The sequence below is a fragment of the Homo sapiens genome, chromosome 1 (genome assembly GCF_000001405.40).
Source record: "Homo sapiens chromosome 1, GRCh38.p14 Primary Assembly".
Classification (NCBI taxonomy): Eukaryota; Metazoa; Chordata; class Mammalia; order Primates; family Hominidae; genus Homo; species Homo sapiens.
The window spans coordinates 36,492,259-36,518,879 of NC_000001.11; the positions used below are offsets into that span (position 1 = coordinate 36,492,259).

At 47.3% G+C, this 26,621-nt stretch overlaps 3 annotated features.

Annotated features, from left to right (window-relative positions):
• Positions 370-664: a silencer, noted in NCBI's record as "tiled region #4345; K562 Repressive DNase matched - State 5:Enh". NCBI's record gives its function as "represses a minimal TATA promoter and a strong SV40 promoter by Sharpr-MPRA in K562 cells {active_cell/tissue: K562}" and the evidence as "EXISTENCE:reporter gene assay evidence [ECO:0000049][PMID:27701403]".
• Positions 24,329-24,418: an enhancer, noted in NCBI's record as "active region_756". NCBI's record gives its function as "activates an Ori minimal core promoter by ATAC-STARR-seq in GM12878 lymphoblastoid cells {active_cell/tissue: GM12878}" and the evidence as "EXISTENCE:reporter gene assay evidence [ECO:0000049][PMID:35858748]".
• Positions 24,459-24,508: an enhancer, noted in NCBI's record as "active region_757". NCBI's record gives its function as "activates an Ori minimal core promoter by ATAC-STARR-seq in GM12878 lymphoblastoid cells {active_cell/tissue: GM12878}" and the evidence as "EXISTENCE:reporter gene assay evidence [ECO:0000049][PMID:35858748]".

The window sequence follows — 26,621 nt, forward strand, 5'->3', positions numbered from 1 at the left end:
GGATGGATCCGTTACCTCAGTACCCAACATGAGGTCTGGCATGGAGGAGGTGTCCATGAAAGGTTGCTGTACAGTTTGGATGTTGGACCTGGATTTTCAGGCCTTGGGGCCCCTGTGGCCATCCAGTTACCTACTGAGAGATCTGGAGGTCTCTTCCAACATGTGGCAGCCAGCACTGCATTCTCCTGCTTCCCTGGTGCTCAGCTGAGCAGGATTTCCTTCCTTTGATTGGTGCCCCAAAATGAGAAATGAATTAATTAGGACGTCGTTGATACCGAATACTGGTGGGCAAAACACCCCAGCCTCTCTCCCCAGGCTGCAGAGAGGCTGGGATGGCTGCCCAGATGCTCTCCCGGGGCCTGCCTCTGGGGAAGGAAGCAGAATTCTAGCTTTGAGTGGGCAGAAGAGAAGACTTCCCCTCCCTCTTATCCCCTGCTTGTGGTCTTCTGGTCAGGAGGGCCTTATCTCTGCTCTCCGGGCCTGGCCTGCCGTGGTATGGCTGGGGAGGGGCATGGTCCTGGTGGTCGGGGTGATGCGGAATCAGAGACTGAAGGGAGATGAAGCTCGTATGCTTATCTTGGCTCAGAGGAAACCTATTCCCTCTACAACCCTGTGGCAGGAGGATGGGGATGGGTGCGGGAAAGAGTCCCTAGGCCAGGCCAGTTACTGCCCTATTAGTGGGCTTCCTTGGGTGAGGGAGCTGGACCCATCTTTCTGGGGTCTGAGGCCCCCTTTCCCATCGGGCAGCTGGTTTATGTCCCCACAGCACTGGGGTGGGCAGGTGGAAGGGAGAAGACAGGGCCATTTTTCCTAAAATTCTTGCCAGGAAGAGTGGCCAAGAGAAGTCAAATGACCTGTGTAAGGACAGAGAGAGGCAAAGGCAGGTTCAGAGATTCTGGGATCAGAGCCTAAGGCCAGCATTCTCCCCTGCTTCCTGGGGAGTCTGACCTGGATCCTGAGAAGGAAGAGGAGTTTCCAGAGGTAGCCAGTCTGCTCCTTTGGTCCCATGTCCTCTGCCATTGCAGCCTGGAACCAGGGGACACAGATGGGGGCTCCTGCCCATAGATAAGCCTCTAGGTTGGGGGGCACAAGGGAGTAGAGGGATGGTGGCTTTTGCAGCCTCCTTGTGGTTATACTGTTCTTATGAGTGGTCTAGACTGCTGAGGTGAGGCTGGATGTGTTATCTCTATCACATCTCTGACCTCCCAGGCTATTCTATGTTTCCTGGAATGTCCAGTTTATTCAATTCATGCACTTATTTATTTACCCACTCCCGTGCCCCATGAGCTCTTCTTTCTATTCACCCTCTCACTCACCCATTTATTCACCCATCTACTTACCCATTCATTCATCTATGCACCTACCCATCCATCCATCCGTCCGTCTGTCTGTCCATCTGTCTGTCCATCCATCTGTCCGTCCGTCCGTCCATCCATCCTTCCATCCAACCATCTAACTATCAACTCAGTCATCCATCCATCATCTACGCATCCATCTGTCCATCCGTATATCTATCCACCCTACCATCCATCCATTCACCCACTAATTCATCCATTTATTATCCATGCATCCATCTGTCCATAAGTCTATCCGTCCACCCACCACTTATCCATCCATCCATTTACCCATCATACTCATCCATTCATTCATCCAGCCACCACCCATGCACTCACCTATCCACCCATTCAGTCATTAATCCAGTAAAAAATTTTGAGCACCTACTACCAATCAGGCCCTGCACTTGGACCTTAGGGTAGTGTGTAAATAAAACCCCAGGCTGTAATGGTCTGTGGCAAGCAAACTTTCTCACAGGACCTCTGAATGCCTGCCATCCCTAAGGATACCACACTATCACCCTGCAGCCCTTATGAATGGAGGCAGCTCCTTCTCCCAAACTCCAGGAACCAGAAATGACAGGATCCAGAAATGTGGTTGGATTTCCTCTTGATTCCAGATGTGTTACATGCAGATGTGACTCCAGTATCCTCATTTAAGGCTCTTGCTCTATGAAGCTGCACCACCTTCTACGACTCCCCATCACCCTCCTGCTGGCCTCCAGTTACTTGGCTTCTGTCTTTTTTTTTTCAGATGGAGTTTTGCTCTTGTCACCAAGGCTGGAGTGCAGTGGCACGATCTCATCTCACTGCTACCTCCGCCTCCCGGGCTCAAGTGATTCTCCTGCCTCAGCCTCCCGAGTAGCTGGGATTACAGGTGCCTGCCACCATGCCTGGCTAATTTTTGTATTTTTGGTAGAGATGGGGTTTCACCATGTTGGCCAGGCTGGTCTCAAACTCCTTACCTCAGGTGATCCACCCGTCTCGGCCTCCCAGAGGGCTAGGATTACAGGCGTGAGCCATGGCACCCGGTTGGCTTCTGTCTCTTGACATGAGTAGCCCCTCACAGTCTTTCTCTCTACTCCCATCCTGCCACCATCTGGGGGAACTTTACTGGCCACAAGTGTGCTGTGCTGACCCACTGGTTTTCAATTCCTTGACTGGGTTATCTCTAAGGGCTTTTCCATTTTAGACACCCAATATCTTGTTTACATCATGGACCTTGCCATCACCTGGATCTGCTCAACCTCTAGAACCTTCCACTCCAACACCTCCTCTTTGTCCATGGGCCTCCCTCCGTCCATCTCTCACCCCCTCACCCCCACAGCTCCTGCTCTCTAAACTCGGAGAGGCCTCCAGGCTCTGCTCCCTCTATTTCCTCATCTATCACCTCCTCCTCACTTCCCTTCCTTTCTCTCCCCCTCGGGATCCCGGCATTAATTCACTGAAGATTCTCTTACCTGTGCTCCAGGATTTGTGCAGTCCTGTCCATCCATCTCCCCGCCCAGCAGAGCTTCACGGGTTGGATTATTTCTTTTTGGACTGGGTCTCATCCTGTCACCTAGGCTGGGGTGCAGTGGCACAAACATGGTTCCTTGTAGCTTCGACCTCCCTGGCTCAAGTGATCCTCCCACCTCAGACTCCTGAGTAGCTGGGACCTCAGGCACACACCACCAAGCTTGGCTAAATTAAAAAAATTTTTTTTTGGAGAGATGGGGTCTGGCCATGTTCCCCAGGCTGGTCTTAAACTCCTGGACTCAAGCAATCCTCCTACCTTGGCCTCCCAAAGTGCTGGGATTACAGGTGTGAACCATCTTGCCTGGCCTGGATTGGATTCTTAAGGTAAACTTTTTATTGACAAATGATGTATATACACCATTGTAAAATTCTAATTGCAATTTTTAACCTTACCATAAGTGTATATAACTATATACACATATGATTTTAAGTGCTTAATTTTGACATAACTGAGGTTTATATAAAATTTGCAAGGGCTGGGTGCAGTGGCTCATGCCTGTAATCCCAGCACTTTGGGAGGCTGAGGCGGGTGGATCACGAGGTCAGGAGATTGAGACCATCCTGGCTAACATGGTGAAACCCTGTCTCTACCAAAAAATATAAAAAATTAGCCAGGCATGGTGGTGGGCGCCTGTAGTCCCAGCTACTCGGGAGGCTGAGGCAGGAGAATGGCGTGAACCCAGGAGGCGGAGCTTGCAGTGAGCTGAGATCGTGCCACTGCACTCCAGCCTGGGCGACAGAGCAAGACTCCGTCTCAACAACAACAACAAAAAAATTGCAAGACTAGTGGGAGAAAACTCCTGTATACCCCTCACCCAAATCCTTAAAATGTTACCAACATTGCATCAAATTTGCTTTCTCTCTTTCTGTGTGTGTGTATACACGCGTTCACAGGTATACACTGTGAACTGTTTTTTTCTGAACTGTTTGAGAGTAAGTTGTATGTGTGATCTTCCTTTACTCCAAGTTCTTCCATTGCGTGTTTCCTAAAAAACAAGGACATCATCTTACATATGACCACAGTACAGAAGTTACCACTGCTACAATATTACTAGCTGATCTACGGATTTTATTCAGATTTCAGATCTTATTCAGATTGTCCTAGATATAGATTTTAAAATGTATTATGTAACATTTGATATGTAAGAATGCTTGAAAACGATGAAATGTAATAATAAAATGGTCATCTGTCAACCAATCACCAAACTTAAGATCTAGAACAAGGTCAAGAAACTACGGTCTGCAGGCTAAATCCAGCCCACTGCCTGGTATTGTGGCACAGTCACATCCATTCATTTACACCTTGTTTATGGCTGTTTTGGAGGTACAAAGCTGCAGAGTTGAGTAGCTGTGACAGAGACCTTATGTTCCATAAAACTAAATCATTTACCACCTGACCCTTTACAAAAAAGTTTGCCAACCTCTGGTCTAGAGCAGAGCTGTCCAGTAGAACTTTCTGTGTGATGGAAATATTCTATAAATCTGTGCTGTCCGATACGGTAGCCACTAGCCACATGTGATTAGCATTTGAAATGTACTAGTGTGTCTGAGGAACTGAGTTTTATTTTTTTAATTGTTTAAAAAATTAAAAAAAATTTTTTTATATTTATAAAATAGAGACGGGGGTCTCACTGTCTTGTCCAGGCTGGTCTTGAACTCCTGAGCTCAAGCAATCTTCCTGCCTTGGCCTTCCAAAGTGCTGGGATTATAGGCATGGGCCACCATGCCTGGCCCTGAATTTTAAATTGTATTTAATTTTAATTAATTTAGATTAATTAATTGACTAATTAATTATTTTTTTTGAGACAGGGTTGAGCTCTGTCCTCCAGGCTGGAGGGTAGTGGCGCCATCATGGCTCACTGCAGCCTTGACCTCTCAGGCTCAATTGATCCTCCTACCTCAGCCTGTAGTAGCTGGGACTACAGGCATGTGCCACCATGCCCAGCTAATTTTTGTATTTTTTGTAGAGATGAGGTTTCACCCTGTTGCCCAGACTGGTCTTGAACTCCTTGACTCAAGTGATCCTCCCACCTTGGCCTCCCCAAGTGCTGGGATTACACATGTGAGTCACCGTACCTGGCCAATTAATGTAAATTTAAGTCAAAATGTCTACATGTGGCTAATGCTATCATATTGGAAAGCATAGTTCTAGAATGTCACTTGTATCTTTTCATCCACTCGTAAACTCCTTCCTATTGTACTTCCCTGTCTCCTCACTCCCAGAGACAACAACAATGGATTGTGTTTATCATTCCATTTCTATTGCAACATATAATTATCACATTTGGTTTTGAACTTTATAAAAATGCTATCATTCTGTACGTAGTGTTTTGCAACTTGCATTTTTTCATTCTGACTTACATTTCTGCCATCTTGTGATGGGTAATTGAAGCTTACTCACATTTCTTCCCTGTATGGTTCACTGTGTACCTATACCAAAATATAGTTTTACCCATTTTCTGTTAATGCCTGTTGGGATGGTTTTCATTTTTTGTTACTGGGGACATTCTTGTACATTTTTTTCTGGTGTCATAAGTTCATGAGTTTCTTTAGAAGAAGAATTGCTGGGCAAGTAGAATATCAAATGTTCAGACTTACAAATGGTATCATCTTGTTTTCCAAGATGTTTGTTTATGCTTATTTATGTTCCCACCAAGCAGGGTATAAAAGTTCCTATTGATCCGGATCTTTACCAACCATTGGTGGTGTCAGCGCCTTCTTCATTTTGCCAACTTATTGGGTGTAAAATTGTATCTCGTGTTGTCGTAATTTGCAGTTTTCAGATTATTAATGAAGTTGATCTTCTTTTCATGTGTTGATTGGTCTTTTGTGTCCCGCTTCTGAGAAATGCTCTTGTTCATGTCTTTTGCTCATGTTTTCAGCTGGGCTGTCAGCTGTGTATGTTGCAAATAACTACTCCCAGTTGGTGGCTTGCCTTTTCATTTTCTTTATTATGTCTTGACAGAGAAAATTGCTTAGTTTTAATGTAATTGAGTTTATGAATATATTCTTTATGGTTGGTACTTTTTATCTTGTTGAAGAAAGCCTTTCCTATTCTGAGGTCATAAAGATATTCTTCTATATTTTCTTTTATGAGTTTAAAAGTTTTGCCTTTCCTGTTTGTTTTGAATCCACCTGGAATAGATATCACTTATGATTTGGTGAATGGATTCGATTTTATGCTTTTCTGTGTAGATATTGAACAATTCATTTATTGAATAGCTCTTCCCTTCCCCAGTGATCTGCAGTGCTACCTCTGTGTCATATATCACATTTCCATATATTTGTGGCTCATTTTGAGGCTCTTCATTCTATTCCATTGGTCTACTTCATCATCCCTGTGTCAATCTCATTCTGTCTCAATTACATTACATTTATAAGTCTTGATATCTGATAGGGCATGCTATCCCACCTTGTTTTTCTCCCCAGTTTTGCCTATTCTTGTGCCTTTGCTCTCCCTAAGGTATTTTAGAATTAGCTTGTCAGGATCCACACAAATTCTGTTGTGATTTTGATTGGAGTTGCATTGATTTTATAGATCAATTTAGAGGAAATAGATATATCCAAATACTGAGTCTCCTTATTCATGAAGGATTTTTAAAAGTTATTATTTATTGTCTCTATTTATTTTTTCTTTTTTTGAGATGGGGTTTGCTCTGTCGCCCAGGCTGGAGTGTAGTGGCATAATCACAGCTCACTGCAGCTTAGAGATGAGGTCTCGCTATGTTGCCCAGGCTGGTCTCCAACTCCTGAGCTCAAGTGATCCACCCTCTTTGTCGTCCCAAAGTGCTGGGATTACAGGCAGGAGATATTGCACCCAGCTGTGTCTTTAACGTTTATAATTCTTTCCATCCAGGTCTCACATATCTTTTGTTAGCTTTATTCCTGGTTACCTTATTTTTTGTTGAAATTGTAGATGATATGTATTTTTAAAATGCATCTCTTAAATATAATTGCTTTAACTAAAGGTATTTTTCTCCTTTCCTCTTATATATTGTTTTTAAAATCTAGCGACTTTGTTAAATCTCTTATTCTAACATTTTATTTGTAGATTTTGGGGTTTTTCTATTTCTTTCTTTCTTTTTTTTTTTGAGATGGAGTCTCGCTTTGTTGCCCAGGCTGGAGTGCAGTGGCACGAAATTGGCTCACTGCAACCTCTGCCTCCCAGGTTCAACCAATTCTCCTGCCTCAACCTTCCAAGTAGCTGGGATTACAGGCGCCCACCACCATGTCTGGCTAATTTTTGTATTTTTAGTAGAGATGGGGTTTCATCATGTTGGCCAGGCTAGTCTCGAACTCCTGACCTCAGATGATCCGCCTGCCTCGGCCTCCCAAAGTGCTAGGATTATAGGCATGAGCCATCACGCCTGGCCTGATTTTGGGGTTTTCTAGGTAAATAAACATAGAATCCATGAATGATGCACATTTTTTCCCTTCCAACCTTTATATGTTTTATTTCATTTTTTTTTTTTTTAGTTTCACTGCATTGGCTAGAACTACCAGTCTGGCTTTGAAGAGAAGCAGCAGTGGTGAGCATCTTTGCCTTTTCGTTATTTTAAAGGGAATGATAATGTTTCCCATTAAGAATAAAGTTTTCAAGCTGGGCATGGTGGCTCATGCCTGTAATCCCAGCAGTTTGGGAGGTTGAGGTGGGAGGATAGCTTGAGTTCAGGAGTTCAAGACCAGCCTAGCCAATACAGCAAGGCCTCATCTCTACTAAAAATAAAAAAATTAGATGGGTGTGGTGGTGTGTGCCTGTAGTCCCAGCCCCCACTCTGGAGGCTGAGTCAGGGGGATTGCTGGAGCCCAGGAGATGGAGGTTGCAGTGAGCTGTGATCACGCCACTGCACTCCAGCTGGGTGACAGAGTGAGGCACTGTCTCAAAAAAAAAAAGACATTTTCCTTCTATTCTTAGTTTTCCAGGAGTTTTAAAAAAAAAATCATGAAGGTTAAATCATATAAAATACTTCTTCATCTATTAAAATGACAGTTAATAATGTATTGCACATTTCAAAATTGCTAAGAGAGTAAATTTTCAATGTTCTCACTACAATAAATGATATGTATTTAAGGTGATAGATATGTTAATTAGCTTGATTTAATTATTCCACATTATATTTATAAATCATAATATCAGTTTGTACTCCATAAATATATACCATTATAAGTTGTCAATTTACAATAAAACATTTAAAAATTTTTTAAAAAGAAAAAATAATGTAGTGTTTCTCATGTAGTCTGTTAATGTGATGAGTACATTTATAGCTTTATAATATTGAAACTTCCTTGCAGTTCTAGGATACACCCAACTTAGCCATAAAATATTGTCATTTTTATGTACTGGTGGATTCAAGTTGATATTATCTTGTTTAAGACTTTGGTGTCTATGCTATTGAGTGAAATTGGCCTGTAATTTTTCCTTTCTCACACTCTCTTTGTTAGATTTTGGAATCTAGGTTGTACTGTCCTCATGGAAGGGGCTGGGGAGTGCTCTGTCTTTTTCTATTCTCTGTAAGGGCTTTTTAAGTTGGAATGATCTGTGCCTTGATACACAGTTGATCACAGTATTTCACTTTCTATCTTTCTAGTATCTTCTGTATCTGTAAATATGTTGCCTCAAAATTTTTTAATAAGAATTTTTGGTGACTTCTCTCTTTTATTTTCCATCAATCTTGCCAGAGGTCTGTCTTTTATTAGCCTTTTTGAGAAACCAATTTTTGACTTTGTTGTGTGTGTACATTTTTTTTTTTTTTTACTGCACCTTCACTTTGATGTAATTAATTTTTCTTCTTAGTTTTATTATTACTTCCTGTGGACTTATTTTATGGTTCTTTTTATAAGCTCTTAAGTTGGGGCTTCATTTATTAATTTTTGGGCTAAACTTTCAAGGCTCTATATTTTGTTAGAAGTGCTGCTTTGGCTCTCTCTGTTTCGATAAGCACTGTTTTCTTTCTCTCTTTCTTTTTTTTTTTTTTTCTTTTGAGACGGAGTTTCACTCTGGTTGCCCAGGCTGGAGTGCAATGGCGTGATCTCGGCTCACCGCAACCTCTGCCTCCCTGGTTCAAGCGATTCTCTTGTCTCAGCCTCCTGAGTAGCTGGGATTACAGGTGCCCACCACCATGCCCAGCTAATTTTGTATTTTTAGTAGAGACAGGTTTTCTCCACGTTGGTCAGGCTGGTCTCGAACTCCCGACCTCAGGTGATCTGCCCACCTCAGCCTTCCAGAGTGCTGGATTATAGGCATGAGTCACCGTGTCTGGCCGATTAGCACTGTTTCCATTATCATTCTGCTTTAAGTGCCTTAAAATATATAGTTATTTCTTTGACTTATGAATTACTCAGAAGAAAGCTTTAAAGTTTTCAAATGTATGTGAATTTTAAATTTATCTGTTTCTCACTGAGTTCTAATTTAAATGCAGCACAGTTAGAGAAAATGATGTGTGTGATGATGATTCTTTGGAATTGAGTCTTGCTTGATAACCTAGTACATGGTCAATTAAAATAATTTTTATAATCTCAGTATTTTGGGAAGCAGAGGTGGGAGAATCCCATGAGACCAGGAGTTTGAGACCAGCCTGGGCAACATAGTGAGACCCTGGCCAGGCATGGTGGCTCATGCCTGTAATCTCAGCTCTTTGGGAGGCTGAGGTGGGCGAATCACGAGGTCAGGAGTTCAAGACCAGTCTGCTGAAACCCCGTCTCTACTAAAAATATGAAAATGAGCCGGGCGTGGTGGTGCGTGCCTGTAATCCCAGCTATCCGGGAGGCTGAGGCGGGAGAATTGCTTGAACCCAGAAGGCGGAGGTTGCAGTGAGCTGAGATCACACCATTGCACTCCAGCCTGGGCGACAGAGGGAGACTCAGTCTCAAAAACAAAAACAAAAACAAAAACAAAAACAAAAACAAAAACAAAAACATAGTGAGACCCTGTCTCTAAAAAAAAATTAGCTGGGCATGGTGGTATGTGCCTGTAGTCCCAGCCACTGGAGAGGCTGAGGTGGGAGGATTGCTTGAGCCCAAGAGTTCAAGGTTACAGCGATCTATGATTGTGCCACTGTACTCCAGCCTGAGCGACATAATGAGACTCTGTCTCTGAGAAAAAAAAAATTAAAAAAATTAAAAAAAATGTGTGCTTGAGAAGTTTAGTCTCTAGATGCAGCGTTCCATAAACTTCCATTCCACCTTGCTTGCTATATATTATTCAAATCCTGCTTGACTAATTTTCTGTCTGCTTGACCTGCCAGTTATGGAGACGTGAGTCTTCAAATCTCTCTCCATGAGGGTGGGTTTTGTATTTTCCCTGCAGTCTCATCAACTGCTGATTTATAATTTTTGAGGCTACTTTACATGTAGATTAAGAATTGTGTCTTCCAGAAAAAGCTAACTTTTCTATCCCTTTTAAGATGCTTTGCATCTTAAAGTCTGTTTTTCTTCTGATTTTAGTGTAGCTCTCCCAGCTTTCTTTTTTAAAAAATGTCGTAAATTTTTTTTAGAGACAGGATCTCGCTCGCTCTGTCACCCAGGCTGGAGTGCAGTGGTGTGATCATGGCTTACTGCAGCCTCAAACTCCTTGGCTCAAATAACCCTTCCACCTCAGCCTCCTGAGTAGGTGGAACTATAGACACACACCACCATGCCTGCTAATTATTTTTTATTGTAGAGATGGGGGTCTTGCTATGTTGCCCAGGCTGACCTCAAACTCCTGGCCTCAAGCAATTCTCCCACCTCATCCTCCCAAAGTGCTGAGATTACAAGTGTAAGCCACTGCATTCGGCCTCCAGCTTTCTTTTGATTAGTGTTTGTGTGGTCTTTCAATCTATCTCCTTATGTTTCAGTGTTTTAGATATGCCACCATATGCAGCATAGAGCTGGATTCTAAAAAATCCAATCTAACAATATGTATTTTAAATAGCACACATAGACTTTTAGTTTATTGTGATTATAGATACATCTCGAGTTATTTTTGTTATCTTTCTTATCCTATTCCCCCTCCCCCTATTCTTTCTCTTCCTACTGGTTCTTCCTTTGGATTTATTGAGTTTGTTTATTTTCTTACTCTATGCTTTTCTACCTCCTTTATTGATTTGGAATTTATATACCCTACTTGTATATTTCTATTGAAATAGATAGATTGCTTCTATATTTCTGTTGAAATAGATAGATTCTATTGATTGCTTTTGAAATTCTATCCTGCATACCTAAAGAAATCTCAGATTATGAGTTTCTCAACCACCTTCCTAAATAATAGACTGAACTTTGAACCCTTTGGCTGTGATCTTCCCCTACAGGTTTACATACTCTCTTTTTGGTGCAGTTTTTGAATTATTTCCTTACTGTTCCCGTCTGTTGTCATTATTTTATATAATATTTGTATAGATTTATTTGTTTATCAATTTCTTTGCTTACTATTCTTTTGTGCATACCAGTCCTTCCTTCTGGGGTAATTTCCCTTTTTCTTGTAGCATATTCTTCAGTAAAGATTTGTTGTTGGTAAATGCTTTTTGCTTTTCTTTCTCTGAAAAAAATCCAGATGTTTCCATTTCACCGTCAGCTTTGGAAGATGGTTTTGCTAAGTTCACAATTCTAGGTTGACAGTTATTTTCTCCCAGAACTTTGAAGCTCGTCCCTGTCTTCTGGCTTTCACTGTTGCTTTTGAGAGGTGTGCTGTCATTTAATTATCCTTCCTTTGTGGGTGGCATGTCTTTTCTGTGTGGCTGCTTTTAAGATCTCTGTCTTTGGTGTTATGCAGTTTCTCCACACTGTGATTAGCTGTGAATTTCCTTTTATTTATGTTGTTAGATGTATGTTACGTTCCCAGTGTCTGTGAAGTCATGCCTTTCATCAGTTCTGGAAAGTTCTCAGCCATTATCTCTTCAAATATTGCCTCTCCCTCTTTCTCTCTCTATCCTCTTTCTGGGACTTTTATTCTACCTGCTATTGCTTTTAACCTGTCTTTCATATTGTCCATTTGCTTGTCTCTGTGCTGAAAATTGTGTAATGTCTTCAGATTAATCTTCCAGCTCACTCTGTCTCATCAACTGTGTCTAATATGCTGTTTAACCCATTTGTTGAATTTTTGGTTTCAACAAGTTATTTCATTTCTAAAAGTTCTCTGCTGTTCTTTTCCAGATCTATTTTTAAAAATTATCTCTTGTGATTTGATCACTTTTGTGATTTCATTTTTTATTTCTTTAAAATCTTCAATTATAGTTATTTCATTTACTGTAATTATGATAATTACAATTTCTGTTATCCTTAGGGATCTATATCTACTGTATGTTATTTCTGCTAACAATTGCCTCTTGTGTGTTTGGTGATTTTTTTTTTAATTGTGGATTTATATGTATAGTTGGTCCTCTGTATCTGTGGGTTCTGCATCTTGGATTTAACCCATCGAGGATGGAAAATACTTGGAAAAAAAATTCCGCTAAGTTCCAAAAAGCAAAACTTGAACTTGCTGTGTGCCAAGTACTATTTTCCTGTGTGCCAAGTACTATTTTGAATCCATTAGAACAAAGTGATGTGTATGCATTGTATTAGGTATTATAAGTAACCTAGAGATAATTTAAAGTATATGAGAGGGTGTGTGTATGTTATATGCAAATACTATGGTGTTTTGTTCTGTTTTGAGACAGACTCTCACTCTGTCTCCCATGCTGGAGTGCAGTGACACAATACAGTTGCTCACTGTAGCCTCCACCTCCCAGGCTCAAGTGATCCTCCCACATCAGCCTCCCAAGTAGCTGGGACTACAGGGGCACAGGTGCACACCACCACATCCAGCTAATTTTAAATTTCTTCTTATGTATGTATGTATGTATTTATTTATTTTGTATTTTTAGTAGAGACGGGGTTTCACCATGTTAGCCAGGATGGTCTTGATCTCCTGACCTCCTGATCCACCCGCCTCGGCCTCCCAAAGTGTTGGGATTACAGGCATGAGCCACTGCGCCTGGTCTAATTTCTTTTTAGAGATGGGGGTCTCACGATGTTGTCCAGTCTAGTCTGGAGCCCCTGAGCCCAATCATCCTTTCACCTCGGCCTCCCAAAATGCTAGGATTACAGGCATAAGCCACCATGCCTACCCCACTGTCACTTAAGATAAGGGACGTGAATATCCACAGATTTTGGTATCTGTAGAGGTCCTGGAACCAATTCCCCATGGATACCAAGGGATAACTGTATATTCTTTGGCAATCTTGAGTGCCTAAGTTGGGGATGCTATCCTTCAGAGAGGCTTTGTTTGCTGCCTGGTGCTATGTTGTGGGTAGCAATAATAGTGCTTATTATATAGGATTGTTAGAAATATTAAATAGGGCTGGGCATGATGGCTGACTCCTGTAATCCAAGCACTTTGGGAGGCCGAGGAGGGCAGATCATTTGCACTCAGGAGCTCAAGACCAGCCTGGCCAACATGGTGAAACCCCATCTCTTACTAAAAATACAAAAATTAGCCGGGTGTGGTGGTGCACACCTGTAATCCCAGCTACTCAGGAGGCTGAGGCATGAGAATTGCTTGAGCCTGGGAGGTGGAGGTTGCAGTGAGCCGAGATTGTACCACAGCACTGCAGCCTGGACGGCAGAGAGAGACTCTGTCCCCCGCCCAAAAAAAAGAAACAATAAATGAGATACTAGATGCGAAGCACTCAGCTCGATGCCTGACACATAGTAGCTGCTCAAAAAATATGTTTTTTTTTTCCTGTTAAGGATTGAATTATTTGAGGTTAGGAGCCCTGTTATTTTTTATTTTATTTGTTGAGATGGAGTTTCACTCTTGTCACCTAGGCTGGAGTGCAATGGCGCAGTCTCAGCTCACTACAACCTCCGCCTCCCTGGGTTCAAGTGATTTTCCCACCTCAGCCTCCCGAGTAGCCAGGATTACAGACACATGCCACCACGCCTTGCTAATTTTTGTATTTTTAGTAGAGACCAGGTTTCACCATGTTGGCCAGGCTGGTCTCAAACTCCTGACCACAGGTGATCCACCCACCTCGGCCTCCCAAAGTGCAGGGATTCCAGGCGTGAGCCACTGCGCCTGGCCAGAATTCTGTGTTATTTATTTCACTGGTCTCCATTCCACCCAGTGCAACACCTGGCACAAAGGGACCCTTAATAGAGATCTGATAAGTGAATGTGTACATGACATCTCACTTTTCCAAACAGAACTACCCTTCTTGGAGCATTTCTAGTTTCCATAGCCTGGGGTTCTGCAGCCCCCACCCCGCCCCTGGAAGTATTTTGAAAGCTGTCAGAAGACCAACTACAGTTGTCTATTCTCAAAAGATAAAATCTAGCCAAGAGCTGAAACATGTAGAGAAAATTCTAGCTTTTCTGAGCTCTAGCCAACAGGCAGTCCATATGCTGGGGTCCCTGAGTCTGTTATCTCCAAGCTCGCCTGACACAGTGCCTACCCTGTGCTTACACTGAAAATTCTCCATCTGTTCTTTTTGTCAAATTGTTTAGAAGATTTAGAAGATTTTATGATGTCACACCATGTCCCGATATGAAGCCCCATGTGAGAAGCCTCTTTCAGAATTTGTTCCTGGAAATATTTGTCCCTGTGGAGGAACTGATCTGCTTCCTCTTTTCTGATAGTAAGAGTGTTTCAGTTTTTGCCCCGGCTGCCAGGAAGCTCAAGTCCAAATTTCCAGATTAATCACAGCATCTATGGCAACCCTTAAGATTGCTATTTTTTCTCTTGAGCAATAAGAATCCATTGAATGAACGAATCTTTCCTATTATAATGCCATTTCATGTCCTTTTGGGAAAAAGATGAAGCATACATATTTTTCAAAATTATGACAACAGCATGGTCAATGGAAGCCATGTAGGATACTATTGAGAGCTGCAGCTCTGGAGCCAGAATGACTGTGTGCAAATCCTAGCTCTGCCTTTCACTCACTTAGGGCTTGTGTGCAAGTGTCTGGTGGAGCCCCAGCCCTTCAGCTAATGTACCAGGGAGCAAGTAACTAGTTGCAGCCCCCTCTGGGCCTCAGTACCTTTATAAAATGAGTTCTTAGAATTCTGAAGTGAAGCAAAGGATGTTAAAGACAAAGAGAAAGCCTTTGGTGAGGAGCAGGTGACTTAGGCAAGAGCCATTTCTGGGCACGGAAGGGGAGGAATCAGGGGTCACAGGTGCTGACCTCATGGGGCAGGGGAGGGAGGGGAAGGGGAGGCAGAGAGAAAGTCCAGAGCTCCTGCTAGACAGGGTGTGGGGAGTGGGCATTTGGAGTGAGTTGCCCCTCCCAGCCTGTGCCCTTCAGCCCTCCTGGAACTCCTGGCTGGGCCACTGTTTCTTGCTGGGGGTGGATAATGGAGAGTCAGTCACTCCTCATCTGGCCTTGGGTTTGGTTTTTGATTTTGCTACAGCTGCACCAACGGCTCTTTCAGTGGTGTGGCCAAGATATGTGGGGGTGGTGGAGGGGATGGACTTGGGGGGACAGGTACATGGAAAGGTAGAAGGCAGTCACTGCCCTTGAGGGCAGTCTGCAGTCTCACTGGGCAACCCAAGGCAGTCTCTGGAGGGACCAAGCAACAGACACCATAGGCTGAGTCCCTAGGTGCCCTCAGGATTTGGAGGAGACGGGCAGCTAAGCAAAGCTGGCTTTTTGAAGGAAGGCTTCTGGTACAGGTGGGAGAGGATGTGGGGCAGTAGAACAGAGGGGAGTGGTCCACGCCAGGCTCAGAGGGGACAAAAAAGCTGTGGTGATGGGGTAGGTGATTTGTTTCAGGGGCAGTTTGGGGTGTGGTCCCTGCTCCCTGAATGTGTGGCCCAGAGTAGGTGCCCTTCGAACCTGCTGAGCACTGAGATGGAGGACTGTGAACCCCATTTGGTAGGGGTTCATTTAGAAAGATTGCTGGTATTGGGGAGGGCAAGTTGAGGACTGACAGAGAGAGCGAGGCCTACATCATTCTGCTCCTGTTTCAACAGTCCCTCCCCTATTGCCAGTGCCCCAGCGGAGGGGCTCAGTCCCATGCCCCAGACCTTCCAATGGCTCCCCATGGCTGCAAGCTCTTCATGGTCTGATGGTGGATGGGGATCTAGAGAAACCAGGAAGACCAGCATGGGACACTCCTCTGACTGGCAGCCTGGTGGGGTGGGAGTGGTGGGGGGTGGTGGAGTAACTCTGAGAAATCGAGAATGGGATTAGGAGTCCCTTTGGGCCCAAGCCTGGTACTGAGAAGGCAGAATTTTTCTAACAGGTGACATGTGGGGGAACAAAACCATCAGAGAGGTCCTTGCTGGGGCAGAGATTGGGCGCTCCAGGGCAAGACACAGGGGAGAAGAAAAAGAGCTGGGTGTCAGAGTGGATCTGAGCAGTGTGAGCCACTGCACTGCAGAAAGACAGTGAGGGGGAGCGTGGGGCAGGGTGTGTAACATGAGGAGGACTTCACCTGCCCAGAGAATTGTGGGGGCAGGGATAACATAGGAGCTCAGAGTCCTCTGTTACCCTGCTGTCTGGAATTTTCCATAATAAAAAGTTTTTTGAAAAGAAGAGCGCACATTTTGCTACAATCACTGTCATTATTTCTAGGCCACTGAGATGTTCCATCAGCCTCCAGAATGTCCCGGGGGAGCCCCCTGCAGCATCTTGGTAGCCTGTCTGCCCTAGACAGGGTCCAGGTGGCCTCCCCTGGAACTGGAGTGATGCTTCTTGAAAAATGTTTTCTTGGGATGGAGAAGGCCTTTCTAAGCAAGGCACAAACTCAGAAGCCATAAAGGAAAGTACTTTCAGGTTTGACCTCATAAAAATAAAAATCTTCAATAAGACAAATAACACCATAAACAAAGTTAAAAGACAAGCAACAGACTAGGAGTTGAAGGGTAAAAAAGAAAATAGCCTCAATATTCCCCACAAACATCTCTCCGTATGAGGAGAGAAGTCAAGAGGAATAATTCCTCTGAGGGAGGTCTTGGTGCAGTGGTGTCTCCACTGGAACAACTATGAATTAATACAACAAAACTTCCTCTATCAGCCAGAAATGAAATCACCCTTTTTAGGTGGACCACCTGCATTAGTCAGTTTTCACACTGCTGATAAAGACATACCCAAGACTGGGTAATTTATAAAGAAAAAGAGATTTAATGGACTCACAGTTCCACCTGGCTGGGGAGGCTTCACAATCATGGTGGAAGGCAAAAGGCACGTCTTACATGGCAGCAGGCAGAGACAGAATGAGAGCCAAGCGAAAGGGGTTTCCCCTTATAAAATCATCAGATCTCGTGAGACTTTTTTTTTTTTTTAAGACGGAGTCTTGCTCTGTCGCCCAGGCTGGAGTGCAGTGGCACGATCTTGGCTCACTGCAAGCTCCACCTCCCGGGTTCATGCCATTCTCCTCCCTCAGCCTCCTGAGTAGCTGGGACTACAGGCGCCTGCCACCGTGCCCGGCTAATTTTTTTTTGTATTTTTAGTAGAGATGGGGTTTCACCATGGTCTCGATCCCCTGACCTCGTGATCCACCCGCCTCGGCCTCCCAAAGTGCTGGGATTACAGGCGTGAGCCACTGCACCCGGCCAAATTTTTTTTTTGTGCTTTTAGTAGAGATGGGGTTTCATCGTGTTAGCCAGGATGGTCTCGATCTCTTGACCTCGTGATCTGCCCACCTCGGCCTCCCAAAGTGCTGGGATTACAGGCGTGAGCCACTGCGCCCAGCCCAGAGACTTACTACCGTTGAACAGTATGGGAGAAACTGCCTCCACGATTCAGTTATCTCCCACTGGGTCCCTCCCACAACACGTGGGAATTATGAGAGCTACAACTTAAGATGAGATTTTGGTGGAGACACAGCCAGACTGTATCACCACCTCAACAGGGAAGAGTTTGTAGTTCATTTTTCATGGCTTCCCATTTAACAGATTCCTGGGTAGGTTTATGGGGCCAATAGCCTGACACACCTCACATAGAGCCCTGCAATTCACTAAGTGGCTAGTACCTCCTGCCACAAGCTAGTTCCAGTGGAGAGTTTGCACGTCTCTACTCCCTCCCAGACATGATTCTCGTTAGTTGATTCCCTGCCACCAGCACAACATGAATAATGCCATCCCCACTGCCTGCCCATCTTCTAGTGATCAAAAGCCCAGCTTGAAGGAAGCAAGGAGGATGGTTCCATGCAGGGGACACTATGGGCAGGAGAAGGGGTGGTGGCAAGATGTGCACATTCATGGTCATTTGGATGGCCCTCGGGATCCTCAGGTGCCCTAACAGCCCAACTGTGGCACCTGTGATGGATACAGTGATCCTCCCCTCCAGCCACCCTGCCAAGTGGCCGCTGATACCCTTAGGGTATGAGTGCCTGGCGAGTCCTGCCAGGCTGTCCTCTAGGGAGGCCAAAGAGCTTAAGCAGCAGGGACTTGACACATGCAGACAGCGTGGATTCCACTCAAGTGAGGACTAGAAGGATGGAAGGGTGATGGTTCCACTCACTTCACGGGCATACTGGAACTGAGGGTTCTTAGGTCCAGCAAGCTCCTGGGCTGTCAAACATGTCAGTGTAGGCTCGGGAATGGGGGCGCCACCGCTCTGTCCTGCTGGACTCATTCACAGGCCACTTATGGAATCCCCAGGGTAAATGGGGCTCTTGAAAGAGTGAGAGTTGGCTGGGCACGGTGGCTCATGCCTGTAATCCCTGCACTTTGGGAGGCCGAGGTGGGTGGATCACCTGTGGTCAGGAGTTTGAGACTAGCCTGGCCAACATGGTGAAACCCTGTCTCTACTAAAAATACAAAAATTAGCCGGGTGTGATAGAGGATGCTTGTAATCCCAGCTACTCAGGAGGCTGAGGCAGGAGAATTGCTTGAACCTGGGAGGTGGAGATTGCCATGAGCCAAGATCGTGCCATTTGCACTCCAGCCTGGGCAAGAAGAGAGAAACTCTGTCTCAAAAAAAAAAAAAAAAAAAAAAAAAGAAAGAGCGAGAGTTTCAGGAGTGGTCAGACAGCAGCTGCTCAGAGCTGCCAGACCCCCTCGTGCTCCCATCTGTTCTCAGTGTGCGGATCAAAGGGAGGAGGGACAGGGGCCCTGCTAGAAGGCTCAGGACCCTCCTTAGGTGCACTGCCATGTCATTGTGGGCACTGGGGCAGACAAAGTCACACAATGAGAAACTGTGCCAAGGGTGGTGGGAACAATGGAGATGCCCCCAAATACCATCCTTTGACCTTATGAGCCCCACAAGATGACTTTGACCATCTAAAGAGGGACAGAACTCCAGTGAGTTCAGCCTCAGTTTTTCTGTTCCCAGGTGGCAGAGAATGTCAAGCACAAATGGGAAGAAGCCTGACTTCCTCTTTTTTTTTTTTTTTTTTAAGACAGGGTCTTGCTCTGTTGCCCAGGCTGGAGTGCAGTGGCACAATCACGGCTCACTGCAGCCTTGACCTCCTGGGCTCAAATGATCCTCCTGCCTCAGCCTCCCCAGCTGGGATCATAGGCACATGCCACCACACCTGGCTAAATTTTAAAAAGGAATGGAAAACTAAACATCGTATGTCCTCACTGATATGTGGGAGCTAAGCTATGAGGACCCAAAGGCATAAGAAGGATACAACGGACTTGGGGGGAAGAGTGGGAGGGGCGAGGGATAAAAGACTATGAATAGGGTGCAGTGTACACTGCCTGGGTGATGGGTGCACCAACATCTCACAAATCACCACTAAAGAACTTACGTAACCAGACACCACCTGGATCCCAAAAACTTACAGGGAATTTTTATTTTTATTTTTATTTTATTTTTTGTGGAGACGGGGTCTCCTTATGTGGCGCAGGCTGGTCTTGAACTCCTGGCTGAAACGATCCTCCCATTCTCAGCCTCCCAAAGTGCTGGGATTGCAGGCATGAGTCACCGCGCCCAGCCAAAACCCGACTTCTAAAGGCAGAGGCCCACGTGAGAAACTCTTTGAGGGAGTGAGCCACAGAGGATGAGTCCTTACATTTCTCATCTGTGAGAGTCAAAGCCCATGGGTTGAGGTGGATTGCTTGCCTACAATGCCCAGGCTTGTCCTTCCGGGATTCAGAAGGCATGTGCAGTACCTCCTGTGGTGTGAGAGAGTCGTCCTTTGGTGTGTGGGTTCCCGACTGGCATTCTCAGCTGGAGTGCCCAAGTCTGGGGCCACTGTTTTCATCTTCATGGCTACTGGGAAAGTGTATTTGCTTGGGGGCTTAAACAAAAGGAAAGTTTCTTTCTGTGTCATGTAGAAGCCCATTTGGAGCAGCCCGGGGCTGGAGAGGGGCTCTGCAGTGTCCGGGGCACAGGCTCCTTCCAGCTTACTGTTCTCATCCCCAGGGTGCGGCCTCATTCCTGTGGTTGCAGATGGCAACTCCAGAAACAGCTTGGAGGATAGGGTACAGAAGGGGTGCAAAAGGCCAGCCCCAGCCTTCTTTGCAGTAAGGTTCCAGAAATTGCCACACAACACTCAGATCCAGGTTGGGCATGGTCGCTCACACCTGTAATCCCAGCACTTTGGGAGGCGGAGGCAGGAGGATTGCTGGAAGCCAGGAGTTCAAGACCAGACTGGGCAACATAGTGAGACCCCATATCTACAAAAATAAAACACAAAAACTCCCCAAATTAGCCAGGCAGGGTGGTGCACCTGTAATCCCAGCCATCTGGGAGGCTGAGTCAGGAGGATCACTTAAGCCCAGGAATTAGAGGCTACAGTGAGCCATGATCATCCCCACTGCACTCCAGCCTGGGTGACAGAGCAAGACCCTTCCCCCAACCCCCCCAAAAAACCCCAAAGAACAAAACACTCAGATCCAGGGGCATGGTGACATGACCAGACCTAGTTGCAAGAGAGTCTGGGACATGTGGGTTTTATGTGGGAGGAGAGCACATGTGTCAACTGGGCGAGTTTAATGGAATTTTGATAAATAGGTAGAAGACATATTCAACAAAAAGAACAATGGGACCTGTTGCCACATTTTTTATTCATGTGATGTTCATATATTGCTTGCTATGTGTTAGTCATTCCAACTAAGCCCTTTCCATGTATTAACCTGTTTAACCTTTTCAAGAGTCTGTGGAACAGTTAGCAGTGGCTCCTGTTTTTTTTCTTTTTTAGTTGGAGTTTTGTTCTTGTTGCCCAGGCTGGAGTGCAATGGAGTGATCTTGGCTCACTGCAACCTCTGACTCCTGGGTTCAAGTGATTCTCCTGCCTCAGCCTCATGAGTAGCTGGGATTACAGGTGTCTGCCACCACGCTCAGGTAATTTTTTTTTTTTTTTGTATTTTTAGCAGAGACAGGGTTTCACCATGTTGGCCAGGCTGGTCTGGAACTCTTGACCTCAGGTGATCTGCCCGCCTCGGCCTCCCAAAGTGCTGGGATTACAGGCGTGTGCCACTGCGCCTGGATGGCTTAACCCTTTTGAACGGAAGTGCCCACCTAGGTGGATGGGAAAATAGGGGAACTCACGGCTGGTAGGGGAGTCTTTCCTCACAGTGAGAATGAGGAAAGGCCTCCAGATCAGGGAGCCAAAAAAGCCAGCAAGGATCCTTCTCCTCCCCTTGGCCTCCAGGCAGAGTGGCCACACTGCGAGGTCCTCTGTTTTGGGTGGCAGTGATGTCTTGGGGGACTCAGCTGAGAACAGGGACTCTGGTGTCCAGCCTGGATGACCACCCCTTTTTGCTCTTTCCTCCCAGGGCCTATGGGAGAGGCAGTGGACATTCTGTGCAGGGTGCTGAGATGATATCTTGCAGACAGTCTAACGGGGTGGGAGCATTTTTCTTCTCTTCCAGAGCCCTTTCACCTGTCCTGGTCGGGTGGTGGTGGCAGCAGCGGCGGTAGAGAAGCAGCAGGAAGAAATGGAAAGATAATCCTTTACTTCCATCGAGGAGCCAGGACCCTTCCTGTTTCTAAGGGTCAGCTTTCCCTCGGCACTCAGGGAGCGAGTGTGTGCGTGTGCACACCCATATTGGGAGGAGTGGGGGTTGTGGGGGGTTTCTGATGGTCCTTTAAATTCTCTCTTTTGGGCATTTTTGTGAGAGGAAAGAAGCAGAACTAGGGTTGTGTGTGGGGCAGCTCTACAGAGGGAAGGACCAATCAGGGGACAGAGAGACAAACCCAGAGGCCATGAACAGCTGGAAGCCATGACCACTCTTAGGCGGGAGAGACAAAGGGCGGAGGCCAGGTTCCTGGAACTCAGGGGCTGAGTTAGCCTTGTGGTGAGCCTGGCAGCGAGGAGGAAAACAGTGGCTGTCAGAGGTGCTACCTGAGGTGGGAGGGAAGCTGGGACATGCCCTGGCCCTTCCTCCCATCCTCCAATCTCCCACCAAGGCCTCTTTCTGATTGGCCAAATCCAGGCAGAAGCCCGTAGACCAGGACCCTGGGACACACAGCCTGCAGGGGTCAGCCCCCCACTGCAGAGTACAGGAAGGGCAAGGAGGGGTTCTGTGGGCCAACAGGTCTGGCCCACATGGGGAGAAACAGGAGGAGAAGCTGGTGGGGAGACTGGGGGTGCGGGCTATCTCCCGACTATGCTGCAGAGCAGGGCATTACCTGTGGGCTGCTGGAGCGTCCTGCCAAGGCCTAGGACCAGAGGACTGACTCGGCCCCGTGTCCGCGGTGTCTTGTGAGTGCCCTGCTCCCTGGTAGGGGATGAGCTCCCTGCTGGGCACGCAGTCCTTACACAGCACGAGCATGTGATCCTCTGGGCACACAGTCCTTACATACCACGAGCGCGTGATCCTCCAGGGCACACAGTCCTCACACACCGCGAGCGTGTGATCCTCTGGGGCACGCAGTCCTTACCTATCGTGAGTGTGCGATCCTCCAGGATGCCCTAAACCCTCAGGGGACCACAGGGACCTGGTGGGTCTGGGAGAGGTGGCAGAGGAGCTCCTGGAGCTGCCTTTGTGGCTGGAGAGGGGCACAGCAGTTGGAAGGTACCTCTGTAGTGATGTGGAGGGAGGCAGTGGACAACACACAGAGGCGATTGTAGGTGGCCCAGGCCATAGGATGAGAGAAAATCATGGATCTGAGAGATTTCAAGGAGGGAGAATCAGTAGGACTTAGACACTGATTGGTTGCGACCAGGGGAACATGACATGGGATACATTTTCCATCAGATAGGAGGAGGAAATAATGATGGTCCCAGGTACCCATGTGTGATGTGGGCAGCCACACCCCCGGGAGCTTCTAAGGGGCAAGTCCCTATGTCACACATCATGCCTGGTTCAGAGAAGCTTCCAGGGAGAGCAGGCTCTGGGGGAGGGCCAAGTGGGGCTGTGGAGGCTGCCTCCCACCCTATTCTGGGCTGCCAGATCCCTGAAGTCAGGGGGCAGGTGGGGGTGCCCAGAGGAGCCCCACACCAGGTGGAAGGGTGTGAGTAAGCCCTTGGAGCTCTGGGCCCAGTCTGACAAGGGCGAGGCCTGCCACTGGCCTGAGTCTGGGGACGAAGGCTTCAGCTGGCCAGATGCCTGTGCTCCGGTCTGGTCCCTGAAGGTCTCCAGCATCCTAGGACACCCTGACCCATGCTCCTCAGGCACAGGGACCCAACTCCACTGGTCTGTAGGCCTTGAGCCTTTGCTGCCTGATCTGCAGCTATGCTGATCAGTCCCTCCCCACTCCTGCTCAGACCTTGGCCCTGATGGACATTAGAGCCACTCCCCTCGTGACCTGCCTCTTTCCCTGCCCAGGTTCTCAGCTCACTGTAGGGCTTGCTTGCCTTTCCTGGGAAAGAGGAATTACCAGTAGGTCTGAGGGCAGCACAGCTTCCTCCTGGATGTGAGAAAGCAGATATCAGAGATGGCACCATTGGACTATGAGCCCTGGGCCCAGGACAGACCTGGGCCTCCACCTTGTCCCATCACACCCATTTCACAGACCTAGAGAGGGGATGTCATTTCAGGTCACCAGATGGTGCTGGGGCTAACCCATCCACAGACCTGGCCCTCGGAGGAAATGAGTCTCCCTGAGTTAGTGACTCGCGAAGGGGTCCCTCTTCCTTGCAACGTTCCCAGCTACACCCCGACTGCCCCAAGTCCAGGCTCTTCCTCCGGGCAGGCCTTTTCTTGTGTGCTCCCTGGCCTGCATGCCTTAGAACCCCCTGACCTCCAGGCACTGCCTTTAGCTTCTCCCAAACCAGACTGTGGCTCCCCATGTTAGAAACTGGGTGATCCCCTCTTTTCTGAGGTCCCCAGTCCACAGAAAAGTCTTTCAGACTTGAATGAAAGATGTTTCTTTTCCAGGGCTGGGCCCAGACCCTGGGGCTTGGAGGGAAACATGCAGACTTGGAGAGCTGTGACCTGCCCCATGAGCCTGGTCACCACCTTCCCCTGGGCCTGTCCAGGAGATTCTGGTGGGGTCTGAGACAGGAAGAAGGACCCAGGGTTCCAATCTAATGCCTTCCTGAAGCTCCAGTCTCCACATCCCAGCTGGCCATTGGGAGAAAGAGACAAAGGTCTCTTGTATCGTCCTCCTAATGGTCAGCAGGTGGCGCTGTGCCCCCAGCTTTGCAGGCCTCAGGTCCTGGTTCTGCAAGTTTGCTTTGCCCAGGCGGGGGTCTGGGCTGCAGTCCTGGAGGGCCCCCTGAATGCTGCCAGAGTTCCTCTGTGGCCCCCTTCCTGCCTCTGCTGGTGGTATCTGGTGGGGTGAGATGCCTCCCAGGCCTCAAGAAGTCTGAACACAGGTTCCTGGCGTGTTCCTTGCCCCAGCTCATGCTGTCCCGAGAAGCCTCTTGGCTGCCCAGGTTGTCTGTTCTCTGTAGTGGGCACTGTGTCAGGCGTGGCACACCCATCAGCTCCTATATTCACCAGCAACTGTGTGAAGTGGGTGCCCGTTGTACAGATGAGAACACCAAGGTCAGGAAAGGCCAGCAAGTCCACTCAGCTAGCATGTGGCAGGGCTGGGTGTGCCGCCCAGGCCTGTTGGACGCCCACGTGTGTTGTCAACCCCTGCACTGGATTGTAGCTGCGTTCCAGAGGAATTATAGCTCTTAGGCTAAAAGTCCCAAATCAGGAACTCTCCTAGCCTCCCTCACCCCAACACTGGGATTCTTTGTCCACCCACTCGAGGCCCTAAGCTGAGCCCCAGGGAGCAGTCTAAGCCTGTGTGATCGGGAGTGTCGCAACCTGACCACTCCATTCTGCTGTGGGTGCAGGGGACGGGGACCAGAACGAGAGAGCAACCCTGGGAACCACATGGTGGAAAGGAGTGCCCAGCTCCTCTCTCTGTCTGCTCTTTTCACACCGGGCCTCTTCCTCACCCTGCTTCTCCTTAGCTCTGCCCTCTTCCCCTTCCTCAGCTGTCTAGATGCATCTCCCTCCCTGACTCTGTCCCTAGTACCCTCTTTTACTCTGTCAGCCTGTCTTTCTCTCTTTTCATGTCTCGTCTTTCTCCAACAGAATCGGAGTTAAGTGACAAAAGAAAAATGATCCCCTCCTGCCAGGGTTATTAAAATCATGTTCTACAATTGAGCCGCCAGGAGAGCCCGACTAATGACGGATGATGAGGCCATGGCGTCCCCACAGCTGGGAGTGAGGTGATAGGCCCGGCTGTGGGATTACCACCAATTACTCTGGGCAGAGTGAGCAGCGCTTCTGTTCTCCTTCAAATCACCTCCCTCCTGCTCCTGGGAGATAAAGTCTCACCCCTGGCGGGGAGGCTGGAGCTGGGGTGAGGGGAAAGAGCTGGAGCTGCCATATAGCCCCCAAGGTAACTTGCCCAAGGTCACACAGCCAGTAAGTGGCAGAGTGGGTACTTGAACTCCAGACTCCAGTGTTTTAAAAATTCATTAGGCAGCCTCCCCTCTGTGAACGGGGCATGAGAAATTATTTTGTTTGCCAGAAAATGATAGTCCTTGGTCAACTAGACTTGGATCCTACTGGGCCACAAAAAGAGTAAACAAGGCCAGGCATGGTGGCTTACGCCTGTAATCCCAGCACTTTGGGAGGCCGAGGCGGGCAGATCACTTGAGGCCAGGAGTTTGAGATCAGCCTGGCCAACATGGTGAAACCCCATCTCTACTAAAAATACAAAAATAAGCCGGGTGTGGTGGAGAGCACCTGTAATCCCAGCTACTTGGGAGGCTGAGGCTTGAGAATGACTTGAACCCAGGAGGCAGAGGTTGCAGTGAAAACACATTGCAGCAAAGTGAATTTTAGTTAGACACTAGGAAGGACTTCCCCAAGGAGTGGGCTCTAAAATAGATGACTGAGAGTCTGTAGTTTCTTCCTTGGATGGTCTTTCACAACAAGAGGGGCCCTCTTGGCAGTCTTTCTAAGCTAGACAAGGTGCTGGTGCTATGGAATCCATCCAGTGGAATTTGAGGATGAAACATGCTGGAGTCAGGGAGGCTTGACAAGGTAAATTGCAGAAGAGATAAGGAAGCCTGTATGTTAGACCCAGCCCTAAAGCCCAGAGCCCTGCTCATATGTTAGACCCAGGTCAGAAGCCCAGTGTGGGTGGGGGAAGCCAGGGCCCTTCAGGCCGGGGTTGGTTTACTGAGTCAACTCAGGTATAGACGCTGCTTCGTGTGGGCAGGGGGTCACAGCTCACAAAGCCCTCCCATGTGCAGCTCATTTAAATCTCCCATCCACCTGTTGGGGCAGACAACTGAGAAATTATTATCCCCATTTTGCAGGTGGGAGAATGAGTCTCCAAGAAGGGAGTTAGTCAGCCAAGGTCACACAGAGACAAGGCCCTCGTGCTGTGGCTCGGACCCCAGACCTTCCCATGTCACCAGGCTGTGAGACCAGTGGGGGCTGTAAGCTGCCCCGCACCCTAATCTGCCTTTCTGTTCCAGTCTGACCAACTGCTCTTTAGCTCCCTCCACCTTGGG